This window comes from Homo sapiens, chromosome 7 (assembly GCF_000001405.40).
Source record: "Homo sapiens chromosome 7, GRCh38.p14 Primary Assembly".
Classification (NCBI taxonomy): domain Eukaryota; kingdom Metazoa; phylum Chordata; class Mammalia; order Primates; family Hominidae; genus Homo; species Homo sapiens.
In genome coordinates this window covers 105,807,542-105,826,221 of record NC_000007.14, presented here as the reverse complement: position 1 = coordinate 105,826,221, position 18,680 = coordinate 105,807,542, and the positions used below count along the sequence as shown (strand labels likewise).

Sequence of the window (18,680 nt, the reverse complement as noted above, 5' to 3'; positions counted from 1 at the left end):
CCAAAGTAATATATGTACAGTTTAAAAGCCAAGTTGTACTAAAAACTTAATTCAATAGCAGTCCCTTGCCCTGTCTCTACCCACTGCTAGTCCTGTCTCCCTAGAGGCAACCACTTTTCACTCTTTTAGCTGTTTCTTCTAGTATTTACTCCATATCTCTATAAAGGGTATATATATGAGTACTTCTTCATTTATTGGTTTTAGGTATTTAGGATCTCGGAACCTTCCATCACATACCGGAGGGTTTGGCTGTCACACATCTCCACCCCCTTTCCTTCCTCCATCCCTTCCCTATGGCTTCTCCATTCTCAGTGAAGGTATGTGGTTACATCAAGCTTGTAAATATCAAGTATCTGAATCTATCCAGTTTCTAAGTCAGATAACAAGCTCAGAAAATGAGAGACACTGTACATCCAAATTTATTTGGTTTCTGGGTTTCAGATGTGAGTAGTGGAATTTCAAATGATGAGGAACAGATTCCAGAAAAGTATCCAAATCTGTTCCCTTCTAAAAGATGAAGGCTAAGTGTTTGGATAGTGAGAGGCATCTATACTGTTCACTTACAGAGCCAAGGAGTATTTATTTCCTTGTGTCTTAAAAACATGCTTATTGAGTCTGTCTTTGTCTACCAATATTAGGCAATATTGGCAATTCCACTTCCTCTCGTATGTAGGTTTTTGCTTGTCCTAAAATTATTGCCTCATGGTTTTTACTTGCATTCTTACCTATATGTTTATCCTTAATTTTGGCCACTAGATTGGGTATATCCTGTCACTATTTTTGGCCCAGCTGGTCAGACATACTGAATAAACCCATCAATTCCCCTGTATTTTCTGGAGCCCATTAGCCCCTCAGCCTACTGTGCTGCTGGTCTGTGACAACAGCTTCCCTCTTCATTGTCTTGGGAAGTCCACTGACTGGAAGCCTGTCTTCGTCCTGCTCAATTTACTCCCTCTTTTGCTAGGACTAATCTTCCAGGGGCATCCTACATGAAAGGTAAATTTTTCGAGTCTTCAAAATATGGAAATGTCTTGGATCTGTCCTCAGACTTGATTAGTAATTTGGTGGCTACAGAACATTCAAAGTTGGAAGTAATTTTCTCTCGGGATTTTAAAGACATTTTCGTATTGTCCTCTGGCTCTAGTGTCACTCTTAATATGAGATGCCAGTCTTGTGTGAGACCACTTTCGTTCTCTGAAAGCTTTTAGGATCTTCTCTGTAACACTGTTGATCTGAAATTACTTAATAATATGCCATGGAGGTTTTTTTGTTTTTTTTATTTTTTTGTTTTTTTTTTTTTGAGACGGAATCTCACTCTGTCGCCCAGGCTGGAGTGTAGTGGCGTGATCTCAGCTCTCAGCTCACTGCAAGCCCTGCCTACCAGGTTCACACCCATGGAGGTCTTTTTTTCTTTCTTTGGGTTGGGCACTCCACTGGTGGGCCCTTTTAATTTGGAAATGCATATTCTTCAATTCTGGAAAACGTTCTTTTACTGGTGGTGGTTTGTTTTGTTTTGTTTAATTTCTTCCTCCCCATTCACTTGGTTCTCTCTTTCTAGAATTCCTTTTGTCAGATATTGGACCTTATGGATTCTAAAACTCTATCAGTTTCTACTTTCTGTTTGCTTTTGTTTTCTTTTTTGAAGGCTCTTGTAAGCCTTCTAGTAAAATTTTTATGTCACCTATCATATTTTTAATTTCCAAGAGCTCTTGATTGTTTTCTGCTTTTTTTCTTACCGTTGCATCCTGGTTTTGGTTTCTCTCTCTGAGGACATTAATAAGTGTTTTTGAAGTTCTCTTCTACTCATTGTGGAGCTTCTATATTCCTCTATTCCTGGTTATTGTGTCTCAGTCTCTTTCAGGTGGGTGCTGTCTTTAAATGTCTGGTGATTCTTGGCCATTCATATTTAAGAGTGAGGCACTACAAGCGGCTTGGAGGTTCAGGGTGTTTTAGTGGAGCTTTTTACTGGTGGCCCATTGTAAAGGGGGATTACATTGCGAACTCATCATTTCTTTGGAGAATTTTCAGTTGCCAGCATATGGAGGCATTTTCTTAGAAGAATTCCTCTCTGTTTTTTCAGAGATGAATTATCCCCTTTCCTGCCTGGAGGGTGCTCTAAGAGCAGATGGAGGCAGAGGCCCAAGGGCATCACGCCATGAGAGTGGCCACCCTCAGTCCATCCACTCTGTTTAGCCTGCCCATCACCCCATCCCTTCACCATGCCTCCTGTCCCCTGGTCTGGATCCTCTTCTAACCCATTTCTCCAGTAAACAAACCTTCAGACTCTCAAGCAGTCTCCCCTCACATTACCCCTGCCATCTGAAGTACACAGTGCCTTCAGCTCCCAGGCCTCCCAAGGGTTATATCCCAGGCGGATATACTCACTTTGCATCCAAACACCTTTCTGTAGACACATAGATCACTGTTTCCTCCACTCTGCCCAGTCAGCAATCACTCCTCACCTGTCTTCCAAAAACATGTGCTTGTTTGCTGATATCTCCCATTTCCATTGTCTTTGCACTCTTTTTCACTTCTTTACCATCATTTTAGGGGTGTCTTGGTCAAGAGAAAAGATAAAATTGAGGAGTAACCATTAATCCACCATTCATTCAGCCAATCAACAGATAGTGGAACCAAGTGGGTTCAAGGCACTGCTGGGGATGGAGAAGTGAACAAATCAGACAATAATTCCTTCCTTCTTAAAACTTCCAATATAGTGTTTATTGGAAGTACCATGCTCTTGAATGCCACAGAGTAGCAAGTCTAGCAACATAAACCTGTAAAGAGAAGCTTGGGCCTGTTACGATTCAAGAACCAATGTGCAGACACCTGTGAACCCATATGCTTACTTGAACCCTTGCTGTTTGTAAGTGATCACAAATGATACTGGAAATGGGGTTGCCTCTGCTGTATGAGCTGGGAGCCATCAAGTTTGCAAAGCACCGGAATAGCCTTTTACAACAAAAGATGATTCATGTCAGCCTTCGACTTTGTAGGAGATAGAAAACACCTTCTGCTACTCTAGAAAATCAGGATTACCACTTCACAAGGTTGTGGTTTAATCTGAAGAATACAGACCAATCAAAGTTCCTGACCAAAAGTAACTAATAATATAAAAAAAAAAAAAGATAAAGGGCCAGAGGATGTATTAATCTCCAGTATTACTAAGACTCTTACTAGCTTAGAGCTGTGGCTTTCAAGCTATTTTAATCATGCACCCTTATCAGTAAAAATTTTTGGAGCTGGAACCCAAGAGTATGTGTATTTAATTATAAATTACATGCGCATACTAGTCTAATACATTAGTGATACTATGAAACAAAATTTAAAAGTTAAAAGGGCAAGCTAAAAATAACTAGAATTAGAAGTTTTAATATGTTTCCCCATCCTAATAGATCATCTTGGGCATATAAAGCTCACTTAGAAACAACTCACTGGGAGAATGGAAATGAGGACTTGGTCATACCATCCACCATTGCTTAGCTATGAGATACTGGGCAAGCTACTTAATTCTAAGCCTCAGTTTCCTCATTTGTAAAGTGATAATAAAAATACTACAATTTCCCTGGCTTTCTCATAGGGTGGCTTTGAGGATGAAATGAGCTCTGTAGGTGTTTTATAAACTGCAAGGCGCTCAGCAACATGCAAACTCAATTGTGTGACCAGTTAGCCACCTCCATGCCCCAGCCAATAACTTCTCCCTGAGTTTATTCCACCACCCCAGATATCCTTCCTGCAGGTCATAAGAAGTAATGATATGAAGGTGGACAAATGAAACAGTGAAAGTCTCTCATCCTTACTTAAAAAGAGAGACAAAACCACAAAGCAACTCAAGCCCAAATTCTGCAGCTAGTCAGTACCATCCTCCCCATTCACAGGAGAGCACCTTTCTCCCTACAGCTCCAAGGGTGTTATGTTTTCCACACTATAGATGTTATGGATTTATTTTTGGAGACAGGGTCTTGCTGTGTTGCCTACGCTGCCTTAAACTCCTGGACTCAAGCAATCCTCCCACGTCAGCCTCCCAAGTAGCTGGAGCTACAGCTGTGTGCCACTGTGCCCAGCTGACATTATGGATTTTGAGAAAGTAAATCTAATGTTGAGAAGCAGCAATGTTGTTCCTAAGACTTGAAGAATTTCAGTGTGTCCAGCTGAAGTATAGGGAAGGGCTCTATGACCTCAGCAAGACAATTATGTGAGCTGCCTGGTGGCAAGTCACTAAGCCCTACAGCAGTGTCACTGAAAGGTGTCTGGGGCTTACACACTTGGAGTATGTGCAATGTCACCGTATAGCAAAACTGCATTTCTGGCGTCAACCAAAGTAGAGGATTAATTATGCAAAGGGAAAATAAGATGTTCCAAGCACCAGTTAATGGAAGTGTTGTGAGCACAGGAGCAACAATCACAGTTAACTGTACTGCGCACTTGCTTTATGCAAGCCTGTGCAAGGTGTGCCACGTGTGATCCCATTTAATCCTCACTGTTTCCATTTCCATTTTGCAGTTAAAGAAACTGAAAGTGAGAGAGGTTAAGTAGCTTGCTCACAATCATGGCGGAGCCACAATCAAATTCAGATTGCTCTGTCTCCAAAACCTATACCTGAAACCACCCTACTCTTCCACCTATCAAATGAGTTCTATATTTTCATCTTTGTTAGTGACTCCTCTCTCTGATACCCATACAATCAATCTTCTACGCCATTCAACAGGACAAAACTGGAAGGAGACTAGCGATCTCCTTTGCTAGCCACTCTCCTGAGGTTAGAAACCCAGACTCACTGCACAGGATCTTAAAGCAGCAGCAGCAGGTGTGTGTTAGTCAGTTTTTTTGCATGACTATAAAGGAATAACTGAGACTTGATAATTTATAAAAACAGAGGTTTCAGCCAGGCGTGGTGGCTCACGCCTGTAATCGCAGCACTTTGGGAGGCTGAGGCAGGTGGATCACCTGAGGTTGGGAGTTCAAGACCAGCCTGACCAACATGGAGAAACCCCATCTCTACTAAAAATACAAAATTAGCCAGGTGTGGTGGCACATGCCTGTAATCCCAGCTACTCAGGAGGCTGAGGCAGGAGAATCGCTTGAACCCGGGAGGCAGAGGTTGCATTGAACAGAGATCACGCCATCGCACTCCAGCCTGGGCAACAAGAGCAAAACTCCGTCTGAAAAAACAAACAACAGCAACAAAAAAACAGAGGTTTCATTGGCTTACAGTTCTGCAGGCTGTACAGGAAGCATGGCACCAACACCTGCTCGGCATCTGGTAAAAGCCTCAAGAAGATTACAATCATGGCTGAAGCCAAAGCAGGAACAGGCATGTCACATGGTGAGCGTGGGAGCAAGGGGGTGGAGGGTAGGTCCCAGACTTTTAAACAACCAGATCTCACATGAACTGAGTGATAACTCACTTATCACCAAGGCGATGGTGCTAAACCATTCATGAGGGATCCACCCCCATGATCTCATCACCTCTTAATAGGGCCCACCTTCAACATTGGGAATCACATTTCAACATGAGATTTGGAGGGGACACACATCCAAACCATATCAAGGTGATCTGTTGGTTTATTATAACTGAGTCTTCCAAGGACATGGAGGGAAATTTGCAATTTAAAAAAACCCAACCCTGCCCTTTTACTGGAAACTGGAGTGCAAGTAAGAAAGCATTAGCCCCACAGAAGGCAGCTACATGGCCGAGCTTTGTTGTGCTGAGAACCACAGCTCTCTGTCTAGCCAAGCTGCAGCCTCATCAAGGGACTGGTGAGCCTTGGAGGTCTTGCTCCAACTTTAATACCTTCACCCCACTGCCCAGCATGTTCCTCACCTCATACCCATCCCACAGTGCTCACTCTTCACTCCTTCCAAAAAGCCTTGCGCTCTAGAAAGTCACTAAGCTATCAGTCATCTATACCCCAGTATGAATATTAAGCCAATATATGACTTGCTGGTGATAGGTACACTTTGATGATTTTCTTGAATATTAGTTTGAAAGGCTTTGCTTCTATTGCTGTGACCTACAGGCATCAGGAACAGATGGGGTGAAGGACATCTGAATGAGGCCCACGCTTTTTTTTTTTTTTTTTTTTTTTTTTTTTGAGGAATAAACAGTCTTTACTGGGCTCAGATCAGGAGTCCATGGGTCTTGAGAGCTTCTGTGTATTTGTCAGTTTTCTTCTCCACGTTCTTTTCACCCGGTTTCCATAGCCTCATGAGCTGTTTCTTCTTCCGATAGTGGATCTTGGCTTTCTCCTTCCTCTTCTCCTTCAGGGTAGATGCCACTGCCAGGTACTTACAGCAAACCTCGTGAGCCAGGCGCCCCACGTAGGCAAAGTTTCTTGTAGGCTTCAGATGCATGACCTTGAGGGCAGCAGGAACCACCATCCGCTTTTTCATGTCATAGGGCGGTGGGATGCCGTCAAACACCTTGAGGCGCTCCAGGGCGGCCCGGCCTTGCTTTGTCTTGTGGGGCAACATGCCTCGAGGTCAGCCGGAAGGTGCGGCTAGAGGCCCGGAAGTGGTAGGGGCCTCGGGAAGGGTTGGTGTTCATCTGCTTGCGGAGGAAGACCAGGTACTTCAACTTGTATCTGTAGAAATGGCCAGAAATGATGATGCCCTCACAGCGTACGACCTCCACCTTCCGGCCCAGCAGTACCTACTTAGCCACGATGGCCGCCAGGCGGCCCAGGAGATGGCCTCGACCATCAAGCACCAGGACCTGCCCCTCCGCCATCTTCAGCAGCCCCCTGGGAAAGGACACTCTTTTTTTTTTTTTTTTTAAATCCCAAATACAAGTTAATGCATTTTGCTTTGCTCTAATTTTAAATTTTTTATTGTTAAATATCCAGCATATACAGATTTTTTTTTAATAGCCAACCCAGATACAGAAAGCTTCATAAAACAAATGTACAAACTCGTATGAGGCTATCACTCTTTGAAGGGTTACCAAGATGCCATTTGTGAACCCCTCCCAGTGACTTATCCCCTCTGTGCAAGATTAACTTTGATCCTGAAATTTAAAAACCAAATTTAAATCCAGTGGGTAGGAAACCATCATTCTCAGCAAACTATCACAAGGACAGAAAACCAAACACCGCAGGTTCTCACTCATAGTTGGGAATTGAACAATGAGATCACTTGGACACAGGGTGGGGAACGTCACACACCGGGGTCTCTCCGGGGGTGGGGGGCTGGGGGAGGGATAGCATTAGGAGAAATACCTAATGTAAATGATGAGTTGACGGGTGCATCAAACCAACATGGCACATGTATACCTATATCAAACCTGTACATTGTGCACATGTACCCTAGAACTTAAAAAAAAAAAAAAATGCAGTGGGTAGATTAGCTGTCCCCATGTGTTTAACAACAAGGGATAGAGTCATAATCTTTTCTAGCTGCAGTGTTTTGGGGTCCTGAGTGGTTCTGGTACCCCAGTTTTTCGGTAAAGGATTTCCCCTGGGTACATTATGCATTTTTATGCAGCTTTATCCTAATACATGCCAGCTTCAATGTGTGCTGCATCTTTGGAGGCTGCAGACTTACCCAGTAGTGCCCAAACTTTTGGGGACTTCCTTTTCTGAATTATCTTAATTTGGTAAGTCAGCTAGATGGTTCCTTTCTTTTAAACAAAGCTGTGTTAGGGCAGCTGATCATTCAGCCTTGAATTTGGGCCATTACAGAGTTAAACCCTGAAAGAGTCGTTTTCTTTCACTTTGAACATTCTAAGCCTGTTTTACTGGTTCTAAATCTATTTCAAAAGACAAGGAGCTGGACATGGGGGCTCACATGCTGTAATCCCAGCACTTTGGGAGGCCGAGGTGGGAGGATCCCATGAGGATCCCTGGCCAGCATGGCAAAACCCCATCCCTACAAAAAATACAAAAATTAGCTGGGGCGTGGTGGCACGTGCCTGTAGCCCCAGCCACTCAGGAGGCTGAGGCAGGAGGATTGCTTAAGCCTGGGAGGCAGAGGTTGCAGTGATCTGAGATCTCTCCACTGCACTCCAGCCTGGGCAACAGAATGAGACCCCCCATCTCAAAAAAAAATTTTTTTTTAATTTGAAAAGACAAGGATTTTAGCCCAGGCAGCTTGTTACATTGAGAGTCTGGTATCCAGCACTCACCAGAATGCTTTTGGAATGCTTGTGAAACCTCAGTGATTTTCTTACAGCTTCATTTGATTTTATATTATTTTTAACTCCTTATTTGGAAATAATTTCTAATTTCCAAAAACATCAAAAATAAGAATAGCACAAAGAACATTCTATAGCCTTTACCCAAATTCAACATTTATTTATTGAAACAGGGTCTTGCTCTGTTGCCCAGGCTAGAATGCAGGGGTGCAGTGATAACTCACCGTAACCTGGAACTCCTGGCTCAAGCAATTCTTCCACCTCAGCCTCCGGAGTAGCTGAAACTGCAAGTGTGTACCACTGCATCAGCTAATTTTTTATTTTATTTCTTATTTTTTAGAGATAGCGGTCTCGCTGTGTTGCACAGGCTGATCTCGAATTCCCAGCCTCAAATGTTGCTCCAGCCTCAGCCTCCCAAAGTGCTGGGATTATAGGTGTGAGCCATTGCCCCTGGCCCAACTGTTGTTAACATTTTGCTCCATTTGCTTTGTCCTTCTGTTTCTTGGGGGTAGGGAATGGGAGAGAGACAGACCGATCCAGATATATTTTCAATAGTCACACGTAATATTTTTCTAAACCATTTGAGGGCAAGTTACATTCTTCGTGGTATTTTACCAATTACTTCAGTGTATGTGTCCTAAGAATAGGAATATTCTCTTACATAACCTCAGTACAGTTTTCAACTTCAGTAAATATAACATGCAAGCATTTACTTTAATATAATCAGAAGAAAAAACCACCAACAGACAGTGGTTTATTTTTTTCTACACACTGAGCAGTAGGCTTCCATTTTCATGTGGTTTGCATACAGCAATCTTCAAGTCTAATTGTTTCAATCTTATTGAAATTGCTTTCTCCTGTATCAACAATAGGTAGAGGGTGCATATTGACATCTCTGTTTTCAATCAAATGTTTGTTTACTTTCTGCCCTCATTAGGGACTCTAAACACATCAGAGAGATAATAAAAATAAATATCCCATCCTGCTCCCAGGCCTTGGAAATGAGAGAGTAAACACCAGTATAATTTAACACTTTCCTGGTCCGATGGGAAAATGTTGCTTTTTTATGTCTACGGCCCTTGAGAGGAGGAGAAGCTCTCCGCTAAATAAAATATCCTTTGTATCCTCTTTGCTGAGCTTCCTTTCCTTGACTGACTTTCACCATGAACCCCACCTGCTGGGGTAAATTACTGATAAGTGACCCATGCCTGTTTCCCCCTGTTTTCTAAATTCAGTGGTCAGTGTTTGTGACAGCTGTCATCAGCTGCATCTCACCGTGCTCCCTGCACTCTGCAGGGTTCTTGGCTTAGAGAACTTAGCTTAGAACTCCTTAGAGTTCTTGGCTTGTCCTGCATAGGAACGAACCTTCCAGAGCATTCCAGCTCCCAGCTGGAGGTGAGACAGCACACACATTTCCCACTGGGGCCTCCACTTGGGCCAGGAACAGGTATGGTGAAGGTGGCAGCGATGTTGGGAAACTTCTTGGCTGCTGGGCCCCTTCCCTGAGGGCTGTGGGGAAAGGAGCATTGCAAGAGTGCTGTGCTTGGAAGTTTTCAGCAGCACGAAAATCACATTTATAGGTTCTGAATCTGAACCATTTCACACTAAGAATTTTGTAATACTTCCTCTTTCTCCTCCTCCACCCTAACCTCTCATTTTAAGTTGCTCTGTCACCCCATTTCGCCTATTAAAAGCTAGTGTCTATAAAAATTTCAGTTTCAAGGCAGTGCATTCCTCATTAAATTGTTTTCTCTCAGAGTTTTCTAAAACCAGTTTAAAATTCAGCTAGTGCCCTTCTCAGACTCTCCCCAGCCCCCAGACCCTCTCCCCAGAACAACCTCTTTAAAATCTTTTTGTTATTTTTTCTGGTATTAACCCCTCTAAATTAGATGCTTAGACTGCGTTCCTGATTTATTGGTTTTAAACACTGCCTACTGACTTCCCGTTAGAAGAATTTGGCCCTCTTGTACCACCCACCCTCACTTCTCCTCCCCATCCTCCCAGTACAGCTATACAGGTAGGCAAAATTCATGGTCAGTGTTTACAGTATGATGGTGATTTAAATATTATTCACTAGGGAGCCAACCAGTGTACTGGGATTAGGTTTCCTTTCTTACATAACTTTTTGTTTTTCTTTTAATAATTGCCTTTAAAAGACCGCTTTGTCTATGAGATGCCCATTGCACATTCTCCTAAATGCCTACCAGTGGCATCTGCCAAACGCTCACAAGCATCCTGTGAACTCTCGGTCCCCAGCTCCCGAATCTTCCACCTCCTGCTCCAGCCTAGACTTGTGATTCCCTAGGCAAGCTGCCGAGCATCATGCAGGGATTTCCTTTTGCTGTGCCTCTGAGGCTTAGATCCCTGTTTTTCTTGGACCTATTTCTTCCTACTTTTTAGTTTGTCCATTTTAGGGGAGAGTACATCCTCTGACAGCTTCCTGAGAAAGAGTGCCTGGGAGGCAAAGTTTTTGACGCCATGTGGGTCTGAAAGTGCCTTTGTCCTTCCCTCAGTCTGAATAATGGTTAGTTGGGTATAGAGTTTTCAGCTGAAGATAATTTCCCCTCCAACTTTTGAAGCTAACACTTCACTGCCTTCCAGCTTCCAGTGTTACTAATGAAAAGCCCAGTGCCATTCTGAGTCCTTGATGCAACCTGTTTTTCTCTCTGGAAGTTTATGAGATATCCTCTTTATCATTTTTTAAAAAAGCTAAGTGATCTCAATGTAGAACAGTTAGGGGTTTCAAAATCACACAACTCTTAATAATAAGGTAGAAAGTCAGCCTGCAGTGTACATACCTTTTCCTAGAGCCAAGCACAAAATGCAAATGTGAGATTTCAATGATTTCTGACTCTCAGATGGTCTTGCACCTGGTACTTCTCCCCCTCTTCGCTCCATAATACCTGGTTCTTCAGGCACAAGTAAGCAGTTTTCAGAACGTCTGAGAGAGAGGAAATGAACACCTTTATATACGTGTAAGAGTGATTTCACATCTTTTCCCTGAAGAGGCAAAACTGACATGGGGATAGAGGAATAGGAGAGCATTGTGGGCCCCCCTTTCCAGAAAGGACTAGTCCCATCCACTGCCCCCCATCCTGTCTTAGCAGCAGTTCCATTTCTTATATGTTTCTAGTAAATGATCTTTTGTAACAGTCCTACGAACTGATTGTTCTAGACTGGCAATTTCTGTGAAACCAAGTAATAAATACAAAGCCCCAGGAGGAAGCCATTCAGAACATTCTCTTCTTATTTAAAGAATTTATTTGTACATGAGATTTTCTGTATCTTTTCTGAATGTTTAGCCATGAGGAGTGAGAGACAACTTAAAATGTTATCTTTTAAATTCTGCAAGTATTTTGCAACTCTGTCAATCCCCTTTCTGACTCTTCTTCCTTCCTTTCTCATACATGATTCTTCCTCACTTGTATTTTAAAGGATTTCTAAGCATTGGAGTCAACAAGCCTGTGTAATGAGGAAGGAATTAAGAAGTAGAAGAAAAAAACTAAAAACAAAAAGCAACTGCCTGAAAGTCAAGTAATCATAAAGTACCTATGAATAACCTAAAATATGTAAATATAATCCAATATTTATGCTAATGTATATGGGCATCCTAGCTTTCATATTCCTCAGACATACAACCTGGAAAAAAAAAACCCTGCTGGAAAACACTGAATTGATAGTTTCTCTCCCTTCTCCCCATCCCCTTCTTCAACATCTTCATCATCATCATCACCATCATCATTGCCACCAAAGCTTCAAGTGGCAGGAGGCGGGGCAAAGATCAAGTTTATTGAGTTTTTAGAAGCTCACTGGAGTGAGGATAGTGAATTGCCAAGTCAATTTCAGGGGGCCATCAGCACAGCTGCTGGCATTGCGATCACAATTGGAGGCCGAGTAAGAGAAAACACTGGATGGTCCCCAGGTAGAGAGGATACATCCTGAAGGGCAGGGTCTGAGCACCTGATAGATGTGGGACCCTACAGAGAATGGGGACTGCTGCGAAGCTGGTTTTATTAGACTGATTTCCTGAGGACGACGTCTCCTCTGGAAGGACAGCTTTTGTGTAAGGTGAAATGGAGGAAGAGAGGAAGAAAGGATTGAGGCTAGAGGGGCATTAAAAAGAAAGATTTGAGACTTGGAAGGGTGGGACTCATACTGGTGGGAGGAAATTGGAATCCAGGATACATGGAGAAATTATCAGAAAACACCCAGCTATCTCAAGTTCAGAATTCAGGTTCAGATAATGACATCCTAGGATACTGGGGGAAAAAAAGAGAGAGAGAGATAGAATTGCTTTTGGTAAGCTTAGCAGAGTCAGAGAGAAAAGGAGAGTTCCCAGAAAACAGAAAGTGGCCAAATGATTTTCTGGTTTCCAGAAAAGGAAAAAAAACTTAATTTCAGAATTTACAGATAAAGGAAGAGTCTAGTGTGCATTATTAAAATTATAGATTGTGGGCCGAGCACAGTGGCTCATGCCTGTAATCCCAGCACTTTGAGAGGCCGAGGCGGGTGGATCACCTGAGGTCGGGAGTTCGAGACTAGCCTGACCAACATGGAGAAACCCCGTCTCTACTAAAAATACAAAATTAGCTGGGCGTGGTGGCACATGCCTATAATCCCAGCTACTAGGGAGGCTGAGGCAGGAGAATCGCTTGAACCTGGGAGGCAGAGGTTGCATTGAACTGAGATTGTGCCATTGCACTCCAGCCTGGGCAACAAGAGCAAAACTCCGTCTCAAAAAAAAAAAAAAAAAAATTGTAGATTGTGAATACTAGAAAAGAAGGTAGTGAACACCAGGAGCCAACCTGGGTTTACTAAGAACTGTGTACACCAGAGAAATCCCATCTCCTTTTCTCCTGGGCTGGGAGGCCAGGAAATATTATAGATACAGTGTCTCTGGTTTTAACAAAGCATTTGGCAAAAGTCTGTCATGAAATGTATGTGGAAAAGATGGAATCCACATGAAGTCATACAAGTAGGTAAATTCATAACAGTTGAAAGGCGGTATCTGTGGAGAAGTCAGAGCAAGGATCTTTGTTTTGGTGGTGGGGTTGTTTGGTTTGGTTTGGTTTGGTTTTGTCTTGTTTTTGAGACAGGGTCTCACTCTGTCACCCAGGCTGGAGTACAGGGGCGCAATCACAGCCAACTGCAGCCTTGACCTCCCAGGCTTAGATATTCCTCCCACCTCAGCCTCCCAAGTAGCTAGGACCACAGGTGTGTGCCACCATGCCCAGATAAATTTTTGTGTTTTTTCTAGAGACAGGGTTTCATCATGTTGTCCAGGCTGGTCTTGAACTTCTGGGCTCAAGTGACCCACCCGTCTCAGCCTCCCAGAGTGCTGGGATTACAGGCGTGAGCCACCATGCCCAGCTAGATCTTTGTTTATCACTGATGAATTCCTGACACCTAGAACAATGCCACAGTGGGTGCTTAGTAAATATCTGTACAGTGAGTGGGCCGTAACTGAGCCAGAGGGACAACTGCAGGGAAATGTTACAGGCTTCTTTCCTGCCCCTGTCCTGCTTTGTTTCGTATTAAGGACTCGAGTAAAGACATTGATGATATGCTCAGTAAAGTTTGTGGAGAACAGAAAGCTAAGCCTGAAAACTAGTTTAGAAACTGATAGAATCAAGACCCAAATATCTTGCTAGTCTGAGTTAGATCTCTCAAGAACTAAAAGTTTAACAGGAATATATGTAAACTACTATTCTTGAGACTTGGAAATCAACTGAACAGGTAGGAAAGATATAACTTAAGAAACCTTGCTTTTAAAGTTCATATGTTTTCGTTGACTCCAAACTTAGTGTTAATACGGTAGCTGCCAGAAGAGTCCCATTTCAGCCATCCATGTTTGGATTCATCAGTTTCAACAAATGCTTATTGCAGGCCTGCTCTGTGCCAGGGAGCTGGTTGTGTACAGAGACAGACATCCCCATCAACCCCGGGATAGGAGATGAGCACTAAGGTTGAGGCAAGGTTAGCATCCAGGGGGGCTTGAGAAGGGAGCAGGGTGCCTCCCTGTGCCTGGGGTGGTCCAAAGCATTCACAAGGCAGGGGAGCTCTTAGGCTGAGACCCAGAAAACAGAAGGGAAAGGGGAAGCTGGCAGAGGAGACAATTTGTCTGAAGACAAGGTATGGGGGCAGTTGAGAGTGGTCTGTTCAGTGGGCTCTCTGGGACTTAGCCTGTGAGGGGAAGAGGAGAGGTGGCTGCAGGTAGGTCAGCAGGGAGGCCTTGGCCCACCAGGAGCCATGGGGCCAGGGAAGAAATGCAGGCCCCAGGACTTGGCACTCTTGGTTTTTCTTCTACCTCCTGGGCTGCTCCAACTCAGAGTCCTTTGCCAGTTTCTGCTTCTCCCAGTCTCAGCTTTGGAGTGCCCCAGGCTCAATCCTTGGCCCTCTTCCCTTCCCATGTATACTTTTATTCCTTGCTGCCCTCATCCAGCCCCATGGCTATAAATGCATTCTATTTGCAGACATGTCCCAGACTCCTGTCAGCAGCCTGGGCTTTTCTCCTGAACTTGGGACTCAGACATCCCACCACCTGCTTGACATCTCCAGCATTTAACATGTGGAAAACTGAATTGTTAGCTTACCCCCTGTAATAGTTTGCTAGGGCTGCCGCAACAAAGTACCACAAACTAGATGGCTTAAAATAACAGAAATTCATTCTCTCTCTGTTCTGGAGACCAAAGTCCAAAGTCAAGGTGCTGGCAGGGCTGCGCTCTCTCTGAAGCTTCCAGGGCAGAATCTGTTGCATGCTTCCGGTGTGGCTAGCCATCCTTGGCTTTCCATGTCTTATAGCTGTGTCACTCCCGGCTCTGCCTCCTTTATCACATGGTGTTCTCCCTGTCCACCTTCACATCATCTCCAGGCCTGTCTGTGTCTCTTCTCCTCGTCGTATAAGGACGCCAGTCATATTGGATTAAGGCCCACCCTAATGACCTCATCTTAACTTGATCACTTCTGCAGAGACGCTGTTTCCAAATAAGACCACATTCACAAGTATTGGGGATAGGACTTCACCATATCTTTTCAGGGACCCCGTAACTTTCTTCATCTGTGGCCTTTCTAGGTTAGCTGATAGCCACTTCATTCTTCCAGTTGCTTTGGACAGAACTCTTGGTGTCATCCTTGACTCCCATCTTTTTCTCCCATCCACATCTAGTCCACTAGGAAACAGGTTAGGTTCAAAACCAACTGCTTCTCCCACCTCCACTTCTGCTGCCCTGATCTGAGCCACCATCACCTAAATTACTATAAAAGCCAAGTATCAGTTCATGTCACTCCTCTGCTCAAAAGCCTGCATAGCTTCCCACACCACTCAGAGTCACTGGCACAGCCTTTCCGCCGCCCCCATGCCATCCCCGGCTTCAGTGCCTCTACGCTGGCTCGCGTTGGCTCCTGCACACAGGCTGGCTTCTTTGCTCTCCCTCATACGTCCTAGGCTCTCCCCTTCTCTGGACCTTTGCACTAGCTCTTCCCTCTGTGCGGAACACCATCCCCTAGATGTGCTCCAGCCTCACAATCTACCTTCTCACCTTCTTCTAGTCTGCTCAGATATCACCTTCTCAGTGGCACCCTTTTTACAATTCCAGCCAGCCTTCCCAGCACCAGTGTTTTGTTTGTTTGTTTTTTTATAACACTTTACCCTTTCTATAGCAGACATTATTGGGAATACTTATTGTTTGTTGTTTGTCTCACCTGCTAGCATGTGATGTCTACAAGGCAAGGGTCTTGCCAGTTTTGGTGACTGGTGTTTCCCAAGGGCCTAGAGCAAGGGAGAGCCAGGACTGGGCCCAGGTCTCCCTGGCTCCAAGGCCATCCTCTTCCTGCTGTGAAAGACCACTCTGAACTATACAAGGGTAGATCTCTCCAACACCACATCTCGTTTATCCTCCCTGCCCCATCTTTTGCCATCTTCCTCAGTGACTTCAGTATCTCTGTGAGCCTACTTGCTAAAATAGAAATTTTAAACTGTACAGAAAGAACATGGTGTTATGTTCAAGAGAATGGAGTCTGGGCTGGGTGTGGTGGCTCACACCTGTAGTCTCAACACTTTGGGAGGCCAAGGCTGGAGGATCATTTGAGTCCTGGAATTCGAGGCCAGCCTGGGCAACATAGTGAGACCTCGTCTCTACAAAAAATTTAAAAAATTAGGTGGATGTGGTGGCATGTGCCTTTCGTCCCAGCTACTTGGGAGGCTGAGTTGGGAGGATCACTTGAGCCCAGGAGGTCAAAGCTACAGTGAGCTATGATAGCATAACTATGCTCTAGCCTGGGCAACAGAGTGAGACCCTGTCTTGGAAAAAAAAAAAAAGGAGTCTGGAGCCACTTACACAGCAGGTAAGCATAGGCACCTCACTTCACCTCCCTTTGCCTCAGTTTCCTCATCTATCAAAAGGAGATAATCATGCCACCTTACCTTGAAGGGTTTCTGTGAGGGCTAAATACGTTAATATATGTAACCACTTACCATGGAAACAGTGAGTACCATGTCAGTATCATTGTAAGGATATATATTTGAACCTTGAGGACACTATGCTAAATGAAATAAGCCAGTCATAAAGGACCAATACTGCCTGATTCCACTGATATGAGGTATCTAAGGCAGTTGACTCGTAGAAGCAGAACATAGAATGGTTGAGTGCCAGGGGCCGGAGGAAGGAGGAAGTGAGGTTGCTGCTCAGTGGGCGTGGAGTTTCAGTAGTGCAAGCTGAGTCAGTTCTAGAGATCTGCTTTACAACAGTGTGCTTATGGTTAACAATACTGTACTATACACTCACAGATGTGTTAAGACAGTAGATCTCATGTTATATGGGGCTTTTTAAACCACAACTTGTTTTTTAAAAAGGATGTAATATATTAGTCACTAACCCTTTGTTTTATTGAATTTTCTCAAGGTTAAGGGACTTACCCAAGTGCTCGCAGCTTATAAAGGAAAGAGGGTGACAAGAATGAAGCCTCTGACTTCCAGGGCTCTTTGTCCTGCTCCAAGTCAGGCATTAGTTCTGTCTGTCAAAATCCAGATTATCAAAGGACCATAGTATAAAAGGGCTCTGCAATATGGGGAGGTGCATCCACGCTTCTTTGGGAGAAACGCCTCACATGTTGGCTTCATAAAACTCTTCTATGCCCCGTAGGTTGGACAATGAGAAATAAATAATCCAGACATTGGTGTTTTTGATAGGTGGTTAGAGCTTCCCCAACAGGGGGAGTAAACAAAAGAACCATCTTAATTTCAAGCTTAGTTAGAACTACGGAAGACTAAAAGTCATTTTTCAAAATGGTGGGTGGTGCCAGGGCTCTATCCCCACCTGGAAGGGGCACTTGATCTGTAAAAGCAGCAAAAATAATTGTGTCTTTTATGTCACTTAGGTAGAAGCTCCTGTCCCAATTAATTCTTATCTCCTCCTCCCTTTATAAATATGCTTGGGCAAAGTGACATCCTAGCAGTTTTTTGTTTTGTTTTCTCTCTTCTTAACAAGGAATTCTCTCTGCTTAGGCATTTTAGGTGCTGATTTTTCTCATGTCCCAGAGATGCTTCTAATTAGTTGATGCTTCCTTCCCATAATAGTTCACCACAGAGAGTGGATTTGGACTGGAGGAGGGAGCAATTTTGTCATCTTATCAAAGTGCCACTGATCAGGTTGGCTTTCCTGAGTGCTCATTCATTTTTCCGCCTCTCTGGAAACAGAAGCAGCAAGCTCCTTGCTGAGTGGAGCTGGAGGTTTTTGGGTTTTGCTGTCTCCCCAGTGCTTCCCAGCACCCTTTGATGAAATGCTGCCTCAGAGTCTTTGCAGTAGGGCTCACTAGAGAAATTATCTTTTTCCTTTCACATCAGTGGAAAAACACTTGGCTGGGGACAAATGGCAAAAGCATGCCACTGTCACCTTGTCCCTAAGTAACCTGGCACCCACCAGGGCTGCCTGCAGGCCCTGTGTGTCCTGGGGAGAAGGTATATAAAGGCCTCTTCCTTTTCCTGCTTTCTAGGAGCAGAGTGACCCTCCAGGCCAAGGACAGTGCTGTATTCTTGGGTGGTTCTGACATTGCAGAAAGAGTCTGTGGACACTAGAGATCCAAGAATTATCCTCCAGTGCTTCAGAGCTGGAAGGAGATGCTAGCTCAGGCCTCTTTAAGGACTTGTATCAGTTAGCTAGCTTTTGCTGTGCAACAAACCACCCCAAAACTTGATGGCTTAAGACAGTAAACATTACTTACTATGATTCTGTGGGTCTTCTGGGTGTTTCTTCTGGTGCGGATAGCGCAGCCCAGGCTGGATGGTCAAAGAGGCCCTCCCTCACCTGTCTGGTGGTTGGGAGGCTGCTCGGTCTGGAGAGGTCTGGGCAGGAACAGCTCACCTGTGCTCCATGTGGGTCCGTCCATGCTACTGCAGCCCAGCCCGGGCTTTCCACATGAGGGTTCCAAGGAGAACAAGAGAGGGCACACAAACCCAGTGCATAAGTATTTTATAAGTGTCTGTCACAGTTGCTAATGGTCTGTTGGCCAAAGTAAGTCATGTGACTGAGCCCAGAATCAATGTGAAAAGGGG

At 44.3% G+C, this 18,680-nt stretch overlaps 1 protein-coding gene and 1 pseudogene across 3 annotated transcripts in view, besides 2 other annotated features; one reads left to right on the top strand and one right to left on the bottom strand.

Moving 5' to 3' along the window:
* Nucleotides 1-18,680, top strand: part of ATXN7L1 (ataxin 7 like 1) — a 271,828-nt gene that overhangs the window by 50,378 nt on the left and 202,770 nt on the right. The gene's annotated exons all lie outside the window — the stretch shown is intronic.
* RPL13AP16 (ribosomal protein L13a pseudogene 16) lies at nt 6,095-6,752 on the bottom strand (annotated as a pseudogene).
* Nucleotides 17,007-17,116: an enhancer, noted in NCBI's record as "active region_26475". NCBI's record gives its function as "activates an Ori minimal core promoter by ATAC-STARR-seq in GM12878 lymphoblastoid cells {active_cell/tissue: GM12878}" and the evidence as "EXISTENCE:reporter gene assay evidence [ECO:0000049][PMID:35858748]".
* Nucleotides 17,237-17,306: an enhancer, noted in NCBI's record as "active region_26474". NCBI's record gives its function as "activates an Ori minimal core promoter by ATAC-STARR-seq in GM12878 lymphoblastoid cells {active_cell/tissue: GM12878}" and the evidence as "EXISTENCE:reporter gene assay evidence [ECO:0000049][PMID:35858748]".